The sequence below is a fragment of the Homo sapiens genome, chromosome 8 (assembly GCF_000001405.40).
Source record: "Homo sapiens chromosome 8, GRCh38.p14 Primary Assembly".
Lineage (NCBI taxonomy): Eukaryota > Metazoa > Chordata > Mammalia > Primates > Hominidae > Homo > Homo sapiens.
Genome location: NC_000008.11, coordinates 8,150,981 through 8,169,569, shown reverse-complemented (window position 1 = coordinate 8,169,569; position 18,589 = coordinate 8,150,981). Strand labels below are relative to the sequence as shown.

The 18,589-nt window shown below is 45.6% G+C and overlaps 1 long non-coding RNA gene and 1 pseudogene across 1 annotated transcript in view, besides 2 other annotated features; one reads left to right on the top strand and one right to left on the bottom strand.

Annotated features, from left to right (window-relative positions):
* ENPP7P1 (ectonucleotide pyrophosphatase/phosphodiesterase 7 pseudogene 1) overlaps positions 1–15,205 on the bottom strand; it is a 62,552-nt pseudogene extending 47,347 nt beyond the window's left edge.
* The window catches only part of FAM85B (family with sequence similarity 85 member B), a 126,742-nt gene that overhangs the window by 57,934 nt on the left and 50,219 nt on the right, over positions 1–18,589 (top strand). The gene's annotated exons all lie outside the window — the stretch shown is intronic.
* Positions 1,066–1,895: an enhancer, noted in NCBI's record as "OCT4-NANOG-H3K27ac-H3K4me1 hESC enhancer chr8:8025197-8026026 (GRCh37/hg19 assembly coordinates)". NCBI's record gives its function as "activates a minimal SCP1, AML or CMV promoter by ChIP-STARR-seq in primed H9 embryonic stem cells {active_cell/tissue: H9 hESC(primed)}" and the evidence as "EXISTENCE:reporter gene assay evidence [ECO:0000049][PMID:30033119]".
* Positions 1,896–2,724: an enhancer, noted in NCBI's record as "OCT4-NANOG-H3K27ac hESC enhancer chr8:8024368-8025196 (GRCh37/hg19 assembly coordinates)". NCBI's record gives its function as "activates a minimal SCP1, AML or CMV promoter by ChIP-STARR-seq in primed H9 embryonic stem cells {active_cell/tissue: H9 hESC(primed)}" and the evidence as "EXISTENCE:reporter gene assay evidence [ECO:0000049][PMID:30033119]".

Genomic DNA, 18,589 nt, shown 5'->3' with positions numbered 1-18,589 from the left:
TGAGGGGTTCTTGTCCCTCCCCCAGAAAAGCAGGTCTTGCTGCTAAGGGTGAAGGAACAAGGCAGGCATCCCTGCATGGTCTGACACCTCTGAAACCTCGGTGAATAATCAGAGAGGTGTCCCTGCAATGATTAAACACCAAGGAAAGGCTGCCTTCCCTAGTCCGTGACTGGTGCCAGAGTTTTGGGTCCACAGATAAAACGTGTCCCCTTTGTCTCTACCAGAAAATGAAAGGAATTGAAATTAAGAGAAGGGAGAGATTGAAGTGTGGTGCCAAGATTGGGAGGAGAAAGAGGTGGAGGGATAGTGAGGGAGGTTGGAGAAGAGAGTAAAAAGAAGCCGCTTACCAGATTTGAAATTGGTGAGATGTTTCTTGGGCTGGTCAGTCTGAGAACCTGAAGTCATAGGTGGATCTTTCTCACAGAGCAAAGAGCAGGAGGACAGGGGATTGATCTCCCAAGGGAAGTCCCTCGATCCCAGTCACGGCACCAAATTTCACATGCATCCATGTGAAGAGACCACCAAACAGGCTTTGTGTGAGCAGTAAAGCTGTTTATTTCACCTGGGTACAGGTGGGCTGAGTCCAAAAAGAGAGTCAGTGAAGGGAGATAGGGGTGGGGCAATTTTATAGGATTTGGGTAGGTAAAGGAAAAAGGGGGGTTGTTCTCTGGCAGGCAGGAGTGGGGGCCACAAGGTGCTCAGTAGGGGAGCTTTGGAGCCAGGATGAGCAAGGAGAAGGAATTTCACAAGGTAATGTCATCAGTTAAGGCAGGAACCGGCCATCTGGATATGTACATGCAGGTCACAGGAGATAATGATGGCTTAGCTTGGGCTCAGAGGACTGACACTCTTCCTCCAGAGGAGGAGACCCAGACAGAAGAGGAGGAGGCAAGGTGATCACAGAGGCAGAGATTGGATCATGCAGCCACAAGTTGAGGAATTCTAGTAGCCTCTACAAGCTGGAAGACGCAAGGAATGGATTCTCCCCTAGAACCTCTGAAGGAGCATTCTCCTGCTGACATTTGATTGATTTTGGACTTCTGGCCTCCAGACAATTAATTTTTTTTTTTTTTCTTTTTTTTTTTCAGACAGAGGCTTGCTCTGTTGCCCAGTCTGGAGTGCAGTGGCATGATCTCAGTTCACTGCAACCTCCACCTCCCAGGCTCAAGCCATTCTCTTGCCTCAGCCTCCCAAGAAGTGGGGACTACAGGTGCCTGCCACCATGCATGGCTAATTTTTGTATTTTTAGTAGAGACGAGGTTTTGGCATATTGGCCAGGCTGGTCTCGAATTCCTGGCCTCAAGTGATTCACCCAACTCAGCCTCCCAAAGTCCTGAGATTACTTAGGTGTGAGCCACGGCACCTGACACAGACATTGTTTGAAGCCACCCATTTCATGGTTCTTTGCTGCAGTGGTTGTGGAATATGAATGCACTCGTGCTGTTGGTTAGACTTTGCTGACCTTGTGTCTGTTATTCCCTGGCAGTTCTACAAGGCCTGGAGCTGATAGGAAAAACCTCCCTTCTTTCCCAAATGGTCCCCAGCTGCCCCGTTCACTGAAGGCCCTGCAGTCAGGAACGGTCAGGACTTCACACCCAGTTGTTGTGGGTGTTTGGCCGACACGACACTTCCTCTTGTGTGATTCATGGACCCGCAGCATTGCGTCACCTGGGAGCTTTTGGTATTGAAGACTCTCAGGGCTCACCCGGAAGGACCTGCTGGGCCAGAATCTACATTTTAACAAGATGCCCAGGTGATTTGCATACACGTTCAGATCTGAGAAGCGCTAGTAGGTGAGGCTTTAAGGTGGTAATTAGATCTTTTCTCCACCTGCAAGAATCTTAGTTTCTTCATGTTAAATCTATTAACTGTGGCAATGGCATGGGGGGTTATAAAACAAAACAAAATCCTTACATCAAGAATGCACCCTGGTGTGTTATGGATGTGGGTGAAATGAAATGTCTGGAATTTGCTTTAAAATATCCTAAAATAGCAAGAAGGAAAAGAAAAGTGGGAACTGGAATGAGATTGGCGAAATGTTGACAAGTTCTTGCAGTGGGATGATGGGTGCATGGGGGTTCATGGTGTAATTCTCTCCCTGATTTTTGTGCATATGGAAAATTTCCATAATGAAAAGTTAGAGGTCAGGCACGGTGGCTCATGCCTGTAATCTCAGCATTTTGGGAGGCTGAGGTGGGTAGATTGCTTTAACCTAGGAGTTCAAGACCATCCTGGACAACATGGTGAAATCCCATCTCTACTAAAAATGCAAAAATTAGGCATGGTGAAAACATGCCTGTAGTCATGTTGAGGTACGAGGTTGAGAACTGAGAATCACTTGAACCAAGGAGGCGGAGGTTGCAGTGAGCGGAGATCCAGTGAGCTGGAGATCACTCCAGCCTGGGTGACAGAGTGAGACTTGGTCTCAAAAAAATTTTTAATTTTCTTTTCTTTTTTTTTTGAGATAGAGTCTTGCTCTTTTGCCTAGGCTGGAGTGTAGTGGCGTGATCTTGGCTCACTTCAAGCTCCACCTCCCGAGTTCACTCCATTCTTCTGCCTCAGCCTCCAGAGTAGCTGGGACTATAGGCACCCAGCACCATGTCCGGCTAATTGTTTGTATTTTTAATAGAGATGGGGTTTCACCGTGTTAGCCAGGATGGTCTCAATCTCCTGAACTCGTGATCTGCCCACCTCGGCCTCCCAAAGTGCTGGGATTACAGCCATGAGCCATCGTGCCTGGCCTTAATTTGGTTTATTTTTTTTCTTTTTTGGGACAGGATCTGTAGCCCAGGCTGGAGTGCAGTGGTGCGATCCCGGCTCACTGCAGCCTCTACCTCCTGGGTTCAAGTGATCCTCCCACCTCAGCCTCCCGAGTAGCTGAGACCACAGGCATGTATTACCACACCTGGCTAATTTTTTCCCTTTTTCTAGAGGCAAGGTCTTGCTACGTTGCCCAGGCTGGTCTTGAACTCCTGAGTTCAAGCAGTCTTCCCGTCTCAGACTGGGAGTAATCCCAAAGTGCTGGGATTACAGGTGTGAGTCACTCTATCCAGCCTCAACTGTTTTTCATGACTCCACTTTTTCTCTCCTCTTGGAAATGTGTAGTCTTTGAGGGAATGTCATTTTGTCTCAATCTCTGGTTTCTTTGCTCAGTGCACCTGTGTTTGGGGCTTTGTTGATCTCCAGGCCTTTTTTCAGCAGCGTTGTCCCTGGAGAGCAGGATGGGAGCTGATGGCTTCTCAGCATCTTTTAACTCAGTTTAAAGATGACTATCAACAACATCTAGTCAGCATCTGTTGCTCTAGGCAACTGGGACTTCATTTCCTTTCTCTTTCTCCACCTCTCTAACCTCTTTAAGACTCTGTCTTTGTCATGGGTACAGCATCACCTGTGTGGCCCTTAGGCTCCCTTACTTACATGTGATCTGCATATTATGTCTTTACTTCAGGGCTTTTCAGCCAGGGGGTGATTTTGCCCCCCAGAGAACACGTGGCCATGTCTGGAGACAATTTTGGTGGTTGCGGCTGGAGGAGGTGGTGCTACTGGCAGCTAATGGGTAGAGGCCAGCGATGCTGCTAAGCATCCTACAATGCCCCGGACAACTCCCACTAAGACAAAAGAATGATCCAGCCCCAAATGTCAATAGTGCTGAAAGTGAGAGACCCTGATTCCATCTTAGAGATCATCCAAGCACACTTGGCCAAATTGTTTTTGCTACTGTCCCATGAAGAAAAGGCAGACTCATTACCGATGGCAACATCGATGGGAGTTTTGCTTAGCTCTTCTTTGTGGACTTTGGGATACGGTGTCTTACCATTTGTGCAAGTTGTGCATTGCTTACCTCCAGGGGGCGCCACCCACATATTTATGAAAATGCCACCCCGGGAGTTGCACAGTATATAGTCTATATGGAAATAAGCAGTTGCTCTGGTTTTGGGGTTATCCTGGGGTGCTCTGGAACTGGGAGGAACTTTATTTCTGGCCATTAGAGGCCCTGAGCATGATATTCAGTATCCTTTCAAGAAAGGAGAAATGTTGAACAGAGAGGACCTCATTTTTATAACTCTTGACCATCATCTAGTTACGGAGCATCCACTTTTCACCCCTGGGCCATAACCATTTGACGCATGAAAAATCATCAAATTATAATATCATGGCTTATACTTTTGATAGCTTCTGCCCGGAACATGGCGGTAAGAGCTTCTCATTTTCAATTGATTCATTGGGGGAGAAAATATACACGGCTGTCCTAAGACTTTCTATGACACACAATTTGCTTGACGGGATTTCTTTAGTTTCTGCAGCATAACTTATTCTAACTGGTCCTCAATCACTTTGCAATAAAACCTGAGATTGTGAAGATGTTCATTGTCATTACCAGTGACGGAGCAGTAAGTACAGAGTTCTGGAGAGGGAAGGAATCGAGAGAGTTAAACTAGCAGAATGAGCCGCTCACCCTCAGAATTGCTTTTAGTCTTGGTGAGAACTGAGGGGAATTTTGACAGGGTTCAGGGGGACTGCGGGGAGTGGGGCTGGGAGGTGGCTGTTTGCACATGTGGTCAGCAAATCCAGTGAGGCGGTCCATGTACTGTGGGCAGCCCCATAGATGGAGTTGGGATTGCCCTGGACTGAGTACTGTGTCATCAGTACTCAAGACATCAAGGCCCAGGCTGGTGCAGGAGACACATTGCACTGTGTCAGCCTTTCTTCTATCGCTCCTCTCCAATGATAGTTCCTGATTTTCCGCTGAGGAGTCACTAGTCCCCAACGGCATGTGTGCCACTGGCCATTCCCCACCCTGATCTGGATCTGGGGCATGTGGTCCCAGCCTGGATGCCAGTGTCCTTCCACCACCCTGGCCACAGTGATTGGGTCTGAGAAGCAGATTAGCCAAAGGAGAGACAATCTTGGAAATTTCATTTTCATGCTTAAGAAAGTAAAATGGAAAGCGGGGGGAGGGTGAGGGGGTCATTCTGATGATATAGTTTTAGGACCTGGATGTAGCCACACCTGTAGCTGTCACCTCTGTGCTATAGTACTGCTTTTTTTTTTCCTTCAAATTTAAATACTTTCTAAAGGCAAGGTCTTGCTATGTTGCTTAGGCTGGTTTTGAAAACTCCCTTTTGGGGGGATGCTTTCACTGCTTCACTTCCTTTCTATGAGAGCTCACGGAATCAGAAGACAAAGGAGATGACTTTTTTTTTTTTTTTTTTTGAGACAGGGCTTGCTCTATTGCCCAGGCTGGAGTGCAGTGGTGCAATCACAGCTCGCCACAGCCTTGATCTTCTGGACTCAAGCGACCCTCCTGCTTCAGCCTCCTGAGTAGCTGGGACTGTAGGCCGCTACCCCCATGCCCAGCTAATTATTATTATTATTTTTTTCTTTAGAAATGAGATCTCACTATGTCACCCAGGCTGGCCTCAAACTCCTGGGCTCAAGTGATCGTCCTGCCTTAGCTTCCCAAACTTACAGGTGTGAGCCCCCACACCAGTCAACGCTGTGGTCTTATGCACCTGGTGTCCCCTATGCCCTGAGCAATGATCCTCCTGCTTCAAACTCCGAAAGTGCTGGGATAACAGATGTGAAGCAGCATGTGTGGCCCACATAGTATTCTTATGGGTTAAATTGAGTCCTCCTCAAAACATGTTGAAATCCTAAATTCTAGTAGCTCAGAATGTGACCTTATTTAGAAATAGAGTTATTGCGGGCCGGGCGTGGTGGCTCATGCCTATAATCCCAGCACTTTGGGAGGTCGAGGCAGGCGGATCACCTGAGGTCAGGAGTTTGAGACCAGCCTGACCAACATGGAGAAACTCCGTCTCTACTAAAAATTCAAAATTAGCTGGGTGTGGTGGCACATACCTGTAATCCCAGCTACTAGGGAGGCTGAGGCAGGACAATCGCCTGAACCCACGAGGCGGAGGTTGCATTGAGCTGAAATCGTGCTATTGCACTCCAGCCTGGGCAAAAAGAGTGAAACTCCGTCTCGAAAGAAAGAAAGAAAGAGAGAGAGAGGGAGAGAGAGAGAGAGAGAGAGAGAGGGAGAAAGAAGAAAAAAAAGAAAGAAAGAAAGAAAGAAAAAAGAAAGGAAGAAAGAAAGAAAGAAAGAAAAGAAAGAAATAGGGTTATTGCAGACGCTATTGATTAGGATGAAGTCATCTTGGAGTAGGGAGGGCCCTAAGTCAACGACTGGTGTCCTTATAAAAGACGAGAGGACACGCCGAGTCACAGAGACACAGGGAAGGCGTCCATGGATTGGCCGGAAGATTGGACTGATGCGTATGCAAACCAAGAAACACTGAAGACTGCCAGGAGACCACAGGAAGGTAGGAAGAGGCAAGGCAGGACTCCCCGACAAGCGCAGGAGGGAGCGTGGCCCTGCTGGCACTTCCATTTCAGACTGCTGGCCACCAGAGCCACAAGACAATCAGTTTCTCTGGTTTCAAGTCACGCAGCTTTTGGTACTTGGTTGTGGCAGCCCTAGGGAATGAACATAAGTACTTTCTTTTTTTTTTCTTTTTTTGAGACGGAGTCTCGCTCTGTTGCCCAGGCTGGAGTGCGGTGGCGCGATCTCGGCTCACTGCAATCTCCGCCTCCTGGGTTCACGCCATTCTCCTGCCTCAGCCTCCTGAGTAGCTGGGACTACAGGCACCCGCCACCACGCCCAGCTAATTTTTTGTATTTTTAATAGAGACAAGGTTTCGCCGTGTTAGCCAGGATGGTCTCCATCTCCTGACCTCGTGATCCGCCTGCCTCAGCCTCCCAAAGTGCTGGGATTACAGGCGTGAACCACCACGTCCGGCCGAATACAAGTACTTTTAAATTAACTCTCCTCTTCTCTCCATCTTCTTCTAAATCATCATTTTTGCCTAAGCAACAGCTAGGGTCTAATACAGATGTGACGACTCACTTCAAAGTGGGGGAAGCCCCCATGTGCACCCAAACCTCCTGCTGCCTTGGCCCAGGGTTCAGAGACTGGACCATCATTCTGGAGGCTTGCTGGAGATCTGAGCCAGGGCATCATTCTCTGTTGCCTTTAAACAAAGGCTGGTGCTCGCCCAGGCTCGTGAGCTCCACCGAGGATCTATTTGGAAGGCAGAATTCTGAGATGACCCCTTAGGTTCTTGCCCTGGATAAATGCCAGGTGTAATCTCCTCTCCCCTGGAGTGTAGGCAGGACCCGTGGCTTGCTTCTAATCTATACCTATGGAAAAGTTGAAGGGATTTTGCAGATGTAACTAAGCCCCTAATCCATTCACTTTGAGTTAATCAAAAGAGAGATTATTCAGGGTGGGCCTGACATCTTCAGGTGAGATCTTCAATGAGGGTCTGGAGGAGAGAGACTCCTTCCTCCTGGTTTTTGGTTTTTGTTTGTTTGTTTGTTTTTGACATGGAGTCTCACTCTGTTGCCCAGGCTGGAGTGCAGTGGCACGATCTCGGCTTACTGCAACCTCTGTCTCCTGGGTTCAAGTGATTCTCCTGCCTCAGCCTCCCAAGTAGCTGGGATTACAGGCGTGCACAATCATGACCGGCTAAGTTTTGTATTTTTAGTAGAGATGGGGTTTCACCATATTGGCCAGGCTGGTCTCGAACTCCTGACATCAGGTGATCCACATGCCTCGGCCTCCGAAAGTGCTGGGATTACAGGCGTGAGCCACCATGCCTGGCTGGTTTTGAAGAAGCAAGCCACATGAGTTCCACAGTTGCATGGAAATAAATTCTGCCAACAACCATGTGAGGTTGGGAGAATACCCCAAGCCTCATATGAGACACTAATTCCAGCCAACACCTTGATCACAACCTTGTAAGTACCTAAGCAGAGGGCCCAGCTAAACTGCACCCCCAGACTCCTGACCCACAGGAAAGGAGAGGTAATAGATGGATGTTTTAAGCTGCTAAATTTGTGTTGATTTGTTATGCAGCTTAGAAAATGAATACATCATTCCATTTTTAAAAAATCATAAGCTAATCACACCATTCGATTTCTTTTTTTTCTTTTTTCTTTTTTTTTTTTTTTTTTGAGACAGAGTCTCACTCTATCGCCCAGGCTTGAGTGCAATGGCGCAATCTTGGCTCACTGTAAGCTCTGCCTCCCAGGTTCAAGTGATTCCCTTTCCTCAGCCCCCCAAGTAGCTAGGACTACAGGCAAGCACAACCAAACCCAGCTAATTTTTATATTTTTAGTAGAGATGGAGTTTCTCCATTTTGGCCAGGCTGGTCTCGAACTCCTGACCTCAAGTGACCTGCCTGCCTCAGCCTCCCAAAGTGCTGGGGTTGCTGACATGAGCCACCGCACCTGGCCTGACACACCATTCAGTTTTAATGAACTTCCAGGTGCTGTGGTCACGCCCCTCTTGTGTGGCATGCAGGTTGGGAGAGATGGGTTGGAAGATGACTGGATGGGGGCATGGAGCTAGGTGGGAAGAGGAAAAGTGTCTTGAAGGAAGTAAGTCCCTTCAGATAAGGGAGGGAGAAGCTTGATCAATATGCAGACTTTCACAGTCCTTCAGTCCTGGGGATACTGGTGGAGAGACAGGTCTTGCCTTATATTTGAGAGTTACCATCCCAGGCAGAGGCCCTACTTCCACCTTCTTGCAGGTGGGGCTGGGGAGCAAATACTTAGAGGAGAAACGAACACCCTTTGTAAGCATGTGAAAAGTTTCTGGAGTAGAGAGATGATGAAGCAGGATATTGGAGTCAACAGCCGAAGTTTTTATCTTATTTTTTATTTTGTATTATACTTTAAGTTTTAGGGTACATGTGCACAACGTGCAGGTTTGTTACATATGTATACATGTGCCATGTTGGTGTGCTGTACCCATTAACTCGTCATTTAACATTAGGTATGTCTCTTAATGCTATCCCTCCCGCCTCCCCCGCCCCCACAACAGGTCCCAGTGTGTGATGTTCCCCTTCCTGTGTCCATGTGTTCTCATTGTTTAATTCCTACCTATGAGTGAGAACATGCAGTGTTTGGTTTTTTGTCCTTGCAATAGTTTGCAGAGAATGATGGTTTCCAGCTTCATCCATGTCCCTACAAAGGACATGAAATCATTGTTTATGGCTGCATAGTATTCCATGGTGTATATGTGCCATATTTTCTTAATCCTGTCTATCATTGTTGGACATTTGGCTTGGTTCCAAGTCTTTGCTATCGTGAATAGTGCCACTATAAACATACGTGTGCATGTGTCTTTATAGCAGCATGATTTATAATCCTTTGGGTATATACCCAGTAATGGGATGGCTGGGTCAAATGGTATTTCTAGTTCTAGATCCCTGAGGAATTGCCACACTGAATTTCACAATGGGTGAACTAGTTTACAGTCCCACCAACAGCGTAAAAGTGTTCCTATTTCTCCACATCCTCTCCAGCACCTGTTGTTTCCTGACTTGTTAATGATCGCCATTCTAACTGGGGTGAGATGGTATCACATTGTTGTTTTGACTTGCATTTCTCTGGCCAGGGATGATGAGCATTTTTTTCACGTGTCTTTTGGCTACATAAATGTCTTCTTTTGAGAAGTGTCTGTTCATATCCTTTGCCCACTTTTTGATGGGTTGTTTGTTTTTTTCTTGTAAATTTATTGGAGCTCATTGTAGATTCTTGATATTAGCCCTTTGTCAGATGAGTAGATTGCAAAAATTTTCTCCCATTCTGTAGGTTGCCTGTTCACTCTGATGGTAGTTTCTTTTGCTGTGCAGAAGCTCTTTAGTTTAATTAGATCCCATTTGTTAATTTTGGCTTTTCTTGCCATTGCTTTTGGTGTTTTAGACATGAATTCCTTGCCCATGCCTATGTCCTGAATGATATTGCTGAGGTTTTCTTCTAGGGTTTTTATGGTTTTAGGTCTAACATTTAAGTCTAATCCATCTTGAATTAATTTTTGTCTAAGGTGTAAGGAAGGGATCCAGTTTCAGCTTTCTTCATATGGCTAGCCAGTTTTCCCAGCACCATTTATTAAATAGGGAATCCTTTCCCCGTTTCATGTTTTTGTCAGGTTTGTCAAAGATCAGATGGTTGTAGATATGTGGCATTATTCCTGAGGGCTCTGTTCTGTTCCATTGGTCTATATCTCTGTTTTTGTACCAGTACCAGGCTGTTTTGATTACTGTAGCCTTGTAGTATAGTTTGAAGTCAGGTAGTGTGATGCCTCTAGCTTTGTTCTTTTGGCTTAGGATTGACTTGGCAATGCGGGCTCTTTTTTGGTTCCATATGAACTTTAAAGTAGTTTTTTCCAATTCTGTGAAGAAAGTCATTGGTAACTTGATGGGGATGGCATTGAATCTATAAATTACCTTGGCCAATATGGCCATTTTTACGATATTGATTCTTCCTACTCATGAGCATGGAATGTTCTTCCATTTGTTTGTGTCCTCTTTTATTTCGTTGAGCAGTGGTTTATAGTTCTCCTTGAAGAGGTCCTTCATATCCCTTGTAAGTTGGATTCCTAGGTATTTTATTCTCTTTGAAGCAATTGTGAATGGGAGTTCACTCATGATTTGGCTCTCTGTTTGTCTGTATTGGTTTATAAGAATGCTTGTGATTTTTGCAAATTGATTTTGTATCCTGAGACTTTGCTGAAGTTGCCTATCAGCTTAAGGAGATTTTGGGCTGAGACAGTGGGGTTTTCTTGATATACAATCATGTCATCTGCAAACAGGGACAATTTGACTTCCTCTTTTCTTAATTGAATACCCTTTATTTCCTTCTCCTCCCTGATTGCCCTGGCCAGAACTTCCAACACTATGTTGAATAGGAGTGGTGAGAGAGGGCATCCCTGTCTTGTGCCAGTTTTCAAAGGGAATGCTTCCAGTTTTTGCCCATTCAGTATGATATTGGCTGTGGGTTTGTCATAGATAGCTCTTATTATTTTGAGATACGTCCCATCAATACTTAATTTATTGAGAGTTTTCAGCATGAAGGTTGTTGAATTTTGTCACAGGCCTTTTCTGCATGTAATGAGATAATCATATGGTTTTTGTCATTGGTTCTGTTTATATGCTGGATTATGTTTACTGATTTGCAAATGTTGAACCAATCTTGCATCCCAGGGAGGAAGCCCACTTGATCATGGTGGATAAGTTTTTGATGTGCTGCTGGATTCGGTTTGCCAGTATTTTATAGAGGATTTTTGCATCGATGTTCATCAGGGATATTGGTCTAAAATTCTCTTTTTTGGTTGTGTCTCTGCCCGGCTTTGGTATCAAGATGATGCTGGCCTCATAAAATGAGTTAGGTAGGATTCCCTCTTTTTCTATTGTTTGGAATAGTTTCAGAAGGAATGGTACCAGCTCCTCCTTTTACCTCTGGTGGAATTCGTCTGTGATTCCGTCTGGTCATGGACTTTTTTTGGTTGGTAAGCTATTAATTATTGCCTCAATTTCAGAACCTGTTATTGGTCTATTCAGAGATTCAACTTCTTCCTGGTTTAGCATTGGGAGGGTGTACGTGTCGAGGAATTTATCCATTTCTTCTAGGTTTTCTAGTTTATTTGCATAGAGGTGTTTATACTATCCTCTGATGGTAGTTTGTATTTTTGTGGGATTGGTGGTGATATCCCCTTTATCAATTTTTATTGTGTCTATTGGATTCTTCTCTCTTTTCTTTATTAGTCTTGCTAGTGGTCTATCAATTTTGTTGATCTTTTCAAAAAACCAGCTCCTGGATTCATGGATTTTTTGAAGGGTTTTTTGTGTCTCTATTTCTTTCAGTTCTGCTCTGATCTTAGTTATTTCTTGCCTTCTGCTAGCTTTTGAATGTGTTTGCTCTTTGCTTCTCTAGTTCTTTTAATTGTGATGTTAGGGTGTCAGTTTTAGATATTTCCTGTTTTCTCTTGTGGGCATTTAGTGCTATAAATTTCCCTCTACACACTGCTTTGAATGTGTCCGAGAGATTCTGGTATGTTGTGTCTTTGTTCTCGTTGGTTTCAAAGAACACCTTTATTTCTGCCTTCATTTCATTATGTACCCAGTAGTCATTCAGGAGCAGGTTGTTCAGTTTTCATGTAGTTGAGTAGTTTTGAGAGAGTTTCTTAATCCTGAGTTCTAGTTTGATTGCACTGTGGTCTGAGAGACAGTTTGTTATAATTTCTGTTGTTTTACATTTGCTGAAGAGTGCTTCACTTCCAACTATGTGGTCAATTTTGGAAGAAGTGCGATGTGGTGCTGAGAAGACTGTATATTCTGTTGATTTGGGGTGGAGAGTTCTGTAGATGTCTATTAGTTCCGCTTGGTGCAGAGCTGAGTTCAATTCCTGAATATACTTGTTAACTTTCTGTCTTGTTGATCTGTCTAATGTTGACAGTGGGGTGTTAAAGCCTCCCATTATTATTGTGTGGGAGTCTAAGTCTCTTTGTAGGTCTCTAAGGACTTGCTTTTTGAATCTGGGTGCTCATGTATTGGGTGCATATATATTTAGGATAGTTAGCTCTTCTTGTTGAATTGATCCCTTTACCATTATGTAATGGCCTTCTTTGTCTCTTTTGATCTTTGTTGGTTTAAAGTCTGTTTTATCAGAGACTAGGATTGCAACACCTGCCTTTTTTTTGTTTTCCATTTGCTTGGTAGATCTTCCTCCATCCCTTTATTTGAGCCTGTGTGTGTCTGTTTTTTCCCCATCTTTGTGGCTTTATCTACGTTTGGTCTTTGATGATGGTGACGTACAGATGGGGTTTTAAGTGTGGATGTCTTTTCTGTTTGTTAGTTTTCCTTCTAAGAGTCAGGACCCTCAGCTGCAGGTCTGTTGGAGTTTGCCTGGGTGTCAGCAGTTGAGGCTGCAGAACAGCAGATATTGTTGAGCAGCAAATGTTGCTGCCTGATTGTTCCTCTGGAAGTTTTGTCTCAGAGGAGTACCCGGCCATGTGAGGTGTCAGTCTGCCCCTACGGGGGTGTGCCTCCAGTTAGGCAACTCGGGGGTCAGGGACCCACTTGAGGAGGCAATCTGTCCATTCTCAGATCTCCAGCTGTGTGCTGGGAGAACCACTTCTCTCTTCAAAGCTGTCAGACAGGGATATTTAAGTCTGCAGAGGATTCTGCTGCCTTTTGTTTGCCAATGCCCTGCCCCCAGAGGTGGAGTCTACAGAGGTAGGCAGGCCTCCTTGAGCTGAGGTGGGCTCCACCCAGTTGGAGCTTCCCAGCTGCTTTGTTTACCTACTGAAGCCTAGGCAATGGCGGGCGCCCCTCCCCCAGCCTTGCTGCCACCTTGCAGTTTGATCTCATACTGCTGTGCTAGCAATGAGTGAGGCTCCATGGGTTTAGGACCCTCTGAGCCAGGCATGGGATATAATCTCCTGGTGTGCCGTTTGCTAAGACCATTGGAAAAGTGCAGTATTAGGGTGTGAGTGACCCGATTTTCCAGGTGCCATCTGTCACCCGTTTCTTTGACTAGGGAAGGGAATTCTCTGACCCCTTGCACTTCCCAGGTGAGGCAATGCCTTGTCCTGCTTGGCTCATGCTCGGTGCACTGCACCAAGTGTCCTGCACCCACTTTCTGACACTCTCCAGTGAGATGAACCAAGTACCTCAGTTGGAAATGCAGAAATCACCTGTCTTCTGGGTCGCTCACGCCAGGAATTGTAGACTGGAGCTGTTCCTATTCGGCCATCTTGGCTCCACTCCTGCTATTATGATTCTTACACAGAGTCCTTTGCTTTCCAGCAGCCTCCTCTTCCTCCTTTTTAGGTTGGAATCCCTCTATTTTAGTGGCCATTGGGATTCTGAAATGACCAGGTCTTTGTCTCAGAGACCTCACACATGCTCTTCCCTCGCCTGGAACACTTTTCCTTCCTCTGGTCCCCTGAGATCTCTTTCAGCTCAACTGCCCCATGCTCAGAGACCCCCTTTCTCCCTCTCTAGTTTGAAACCAGTTTACGCCTGTAGTCTGTGCCTGGAAAACTCGTTTTCCTCCTTGATGCCTCCTGAGTTGTTACAGGATGTATGTGCCTGTTTGGGTGTCTGGTGTCTGTCTCCCCGACTGGACTGTATGCTCCTGGTGAGCTGGAGGGACTGGACTAGCACAGGCCAAGGCCCTGGGGCTTGAGGGAGCAGGGCAGAAGGCACAGGCAAAGGCCTTTGTGATCCGGAAGGAAGTGAAGGAGAGGGAGAGAGATGAGAGAGGCTGGCAGAAGATAGGCCAGGGGCCAGGCTGTGTGGGATCTTTTGGGCCACAGAAAGACATTTGAATTCTTATGTAAGAGAACCAAGACACCATTGGAAGGTATGAGTCACCTCATCTAACTGAGCTCTGTAAATGTCAGTGTTTTATTATTTTTATACAATTATTTAAAAGTGATTTTAGTTATTTACCTTTTTATTTTTATTACTTTTGTTTTTTTTTTTGAGACAAAATCTTGCTCTTTTGCCCAAACTGGAATGCAATGGCATGATCTCGGCTCACTTCAACTACCACCTCCTGGGTTCAAGTGATTCTCCTGTATCAGACTCCAGAGTAGCTGTGGTTATAGGCATCTGCCACCACGCCCAGCTTATTTTTGTATTTTTAGGATAGGTGACGTTTCACCATGTTGGGCAAGCTGGTCTTGAACTCCTGACCTCAGGTGATCCACCCACCTCAGCCACCAAAAGTGCTGGGATTACAGGGGTGAGTCACCATGCTCGGCCTTATTTACTTTAAAAAAAAAGAACAGGCCAGTCACGGTAGCTCATGTCTCCAATCTCAGCACTTTGGGAGGCTGAGGTGGGATGATCACTTGAGGCCAGGAGTTCAAAACCAGCCCAGGCAACATAGTGAGACACCCCCTGCCCCAGTTTCTAAGAAAATGAGAAAATCAGGCATGGTGGCTTGTCTGTATCCCCAGCTACTGAGGAGACTGAGCTAGGGAGGACTGCTTGAGACCAGGAGCTTGAGGCTCCACTGAGCTGTGATTATGCCACTGAGCTACAGCCTGGGCAACAGAGTGAGACCCCGGAGCAACCTCAACCTCCCTAGAGCTGACCGAGCTTTTGCTTCTTATCACAGGGAATGACGGACGCTGGGGATTTGATGGGCATCGGGTGAAATGGGCAGAGTGGCGCTTACCTGTGATGGCAGTGAAGTGGGACGGGGAGGTCATTGTCACAAGGGGCGGCATGAGGTACTTGGCCTTGACGCCCTCCCTGGCCAGATGGTCCAGGTTGGGGGTGTTCACATCCTGATCCTAGTCCCAGCGGAAGCCCTGGAAGGAGATCAGCAGCAGTTGTGAGTGCTCTTCTTCCCTGCGAGGGGGTGGCCGCCCAGCAGGACAGGCGGTGGCAGCAGCAGCTGGAGGGCGCCGAGTCATGTCATCCCACAAGCACCTGTCATGCACTCCTCACAGTGTTCATGGGCTTCTCCCTCTTTAGTCCGTTGTTAAACAAAGTCCGCATTAGTAATTCAGCCCAGCTCTGTTGTGGGACAAACAACCTGGAGTGTAGCAAGGTGCTGCATATTTGCAGGACAGTATGAAAGCGTTCTGGAGATGGATGGGGGACATGGCTGTACAATGTGGGGGATGCACTTAATACCACTGAATTTTTCCTTTGAAAATGGCTAAAATAATAGATTTTGTATGTATTTTACCACAGTAAAAAATCAAGCTGGCCGGGCATGGTGGCCTACACCTGTAATCCCAGCACTTTGGGAGGCCAAGGCGGGTAGATCATTTGAGGTCAGGAGTTCAAGACCAGCCTGGCCAACATGGAGAAACCCCATCTCTACTAAAAATGCAAAAATTAGCCAGGCGTGGCGGTACATGTCTGTAATCCCAGCTACTCGGGAGGCTGAGGCAGGAGAATTGCTTGAACCCGGGAGGCGGAGGTTGCAGTGAGCTGAGATTGCTCCACTGCCTTCCAACCTGGACGATGGAACGAGACTGCATCTCCAAAAAAAAAAAAAAAATCAAACCACATGAAATATTTTGGACTCTTATACTAATTCCAACACTTTGAAGATCTGGGGAGAACAAACTAGATTGGTGCTTTCCTTGGCTTAGTATGTTCTGTTTTTATAGGGAGAGCAAATTATTGTTCACCAGCACTATTAAAATAGCTACAACAGGATGGGCATGGTGGCTCACACCTTTAATCCCAGCACTTTGGGAAGCTGAGGTGGGAGGATCGCTTGAGCCCAGGAGTTCGAGATGCCAGCCTGGGCAACATGGTGAGACCCTGCCACTACCAAAAAATATAACAACAACAACACAAATAGCTAGGTGTGATTGTGTGCATCTGTAGTCCCAGCTACTTGAGAGGCTGAGGTGGGAGGATCACTTGTGCCCAGGAGGTTGAGGCTGTAGTAAGCCATGATTATGCCACTGTACTCAGCCTGGGTGACAGAGTGAGACCCTGTATGGAAAAAGAAATAAAAAGCTGCAGTGGAGTCATTGATCATGAGGCCAGGCACTGTATACATGTACATCATCTCATTTAATTTTTTCTCTTGTTTAAAATTATTTTTTCCTCTAATCCCCATGTTGATCGACATTTTTTTCAATCCTAGGAATTAGTTGAAAATTTTGCATAAGAATTGAAAATTGCCTGGCCTGATGTCTTACACCTGTTATCCCAGCACTTTGGGAGGCTGAGATGAGAGAATCACTTAAAGCCAGGAGTTTGGGCCAATCTGGGCAATATACTGAGAATGCAACTCTATAAAAAAATTTAAAAAGCTGGGTGTGGTAGCGTTCACCTGTAGTCCCAGCTACTTGGAAGACTAGGTGGGAGGATTGCTTGAGTCCAGGCGGTAAAGGCAGCAGTGAGCTATGACTGTGACATTGCACTGCAGCCTGGGTGACGGAGTGAGACTCTATCTCTAAAATAAATGAATAAAATTGTGGTATAATATATGCAACATTTATCATTTTGTGCATCTGAAAGTGTACAATTCAGGGACATTTTGTACATCTATCATGTTGTGTAATTATCACCACTACCTAGTTTCAGGGCTTTTTCAACACCTCAGTTGGAAGCCTCATATCCATTCAGCAGTCACTCTGCATACTCCCTCCTGCAGCCGTTGGAAACCTCTCATCTACTTTCTATCTCTGTCGATTGGCTTAGTCTGAACATTGCATATAAATGGAATTCTACAATATATGACCTTTCATGTCTGCTTCTTTCACTAACCCTAACGTTCATCCATATCACAACATGGATAAGTTTTATTTTCTTTTTAGACCCTATCTAAAAAGAAAAAAAAAATTTGTAAAACAAAAATAAAAACAAAAAAATATATAGGATGGAGATCAGATGAGTCCTGAAAAGTTTATAATATTTACTATCTAGCACTTTACATAGAAGCTTGCCTACCTCTGAAAGATAGGCAGGTACAGAGATGACATTTATCTTGACACTTATAGAAAGACCTATAAATTGTATAAAGACATCATCATTGGATCTCCAGTAACAAGAACTGGCAAGACATGACAGTGTGTCCAGGTGTTCAGGTGAAGTGTAGGGAAGGTCTTGTCTTGACGAGGTTGGATGTGAGACCCAGATGAGATAACCCCATTTCCCCTGCTGAAATTGCCTGAGAATTTCATTCCAGTTATTTGCGTAGTTTGATTCTTTCGGTGGGGGTGGGGGTGGGTGAGGAGGTGGGTGAGGAGGCCGAAGGTCATATCTCAGCTCTGCAACTCATTATCTATGATGCCTTGGGGCAGGTCCCATAACTCTCCAAGCCTCTGTTATATATTCCATAGGGTTGTGAGGTTCAGATGAAATAATGCATGCTGGCAGGAATGGTTACTGCTCATGGGATTTCCATCTGCTCCCTGTATTCCCCAGACCCCCGTAGTTAGATGGATCCATGCCAGGGTCCAGTGCTCTATAAGTGGAAGTCACTGACATCACCTCTAGTCTACAGCTTTTGAGGGCTTGGAAATAACTATCTCATTCTCTCATCTCCTGGTGCAGTAACTAGGGGAGAATCCTTACATTAAGATGGTAGAATTTCCATCATTCTAGGTCTTTGAGTGGCCATATGGAGCACACCATACCCAGCCAACCCATTGTGGACATGGAATGTAAGAAATCAACCTTGGTTGCTAAGCTGCTGAGACTCTGGGGTTAATTTGTTACTGCAGCATAACCTAGTCCATCCTGATGCATGTAGCATGCAAACCACTTATGTTGACCCTTAGTCATGGTCAGTGCTCCACAGATGTTGGTTACTTTTGGTAGGAAGATAGATTGCCTCTGAAAGTTTTGTTAGCTGATCTCATGATGCCAATGTTGCTATTTTGTAATTGGATAAATTGGACTTGGCTCTCTTTCCAGCATGTGGGAGAGAAAGATGACTGAGAGACAATAAGGCACTATTATCTTCAGTTTCTGTCCTTGGATACCCTTGGTGGCAATGAACAATGCATGCCCCTCTGAGAAAGCTGGACCTAAAGGAGAATGGGAGGTGATACCAGAATTGGGAAAGTCCAAGGCCCCAGGCATTCCCTGGTCTGGAGACAACTTTGAGTCCTTGGTGGGAAGATTCTCCAAGGGAACATAAATGCTTCTACTATCTAGTTTGTCTCTTTGAGAATTAAAACTTTTTTTTTTCATTCCAGTAGCTTTTGGGGTACAGTTTGGCTCTTTGAGAATTGCATACTAATTAATTT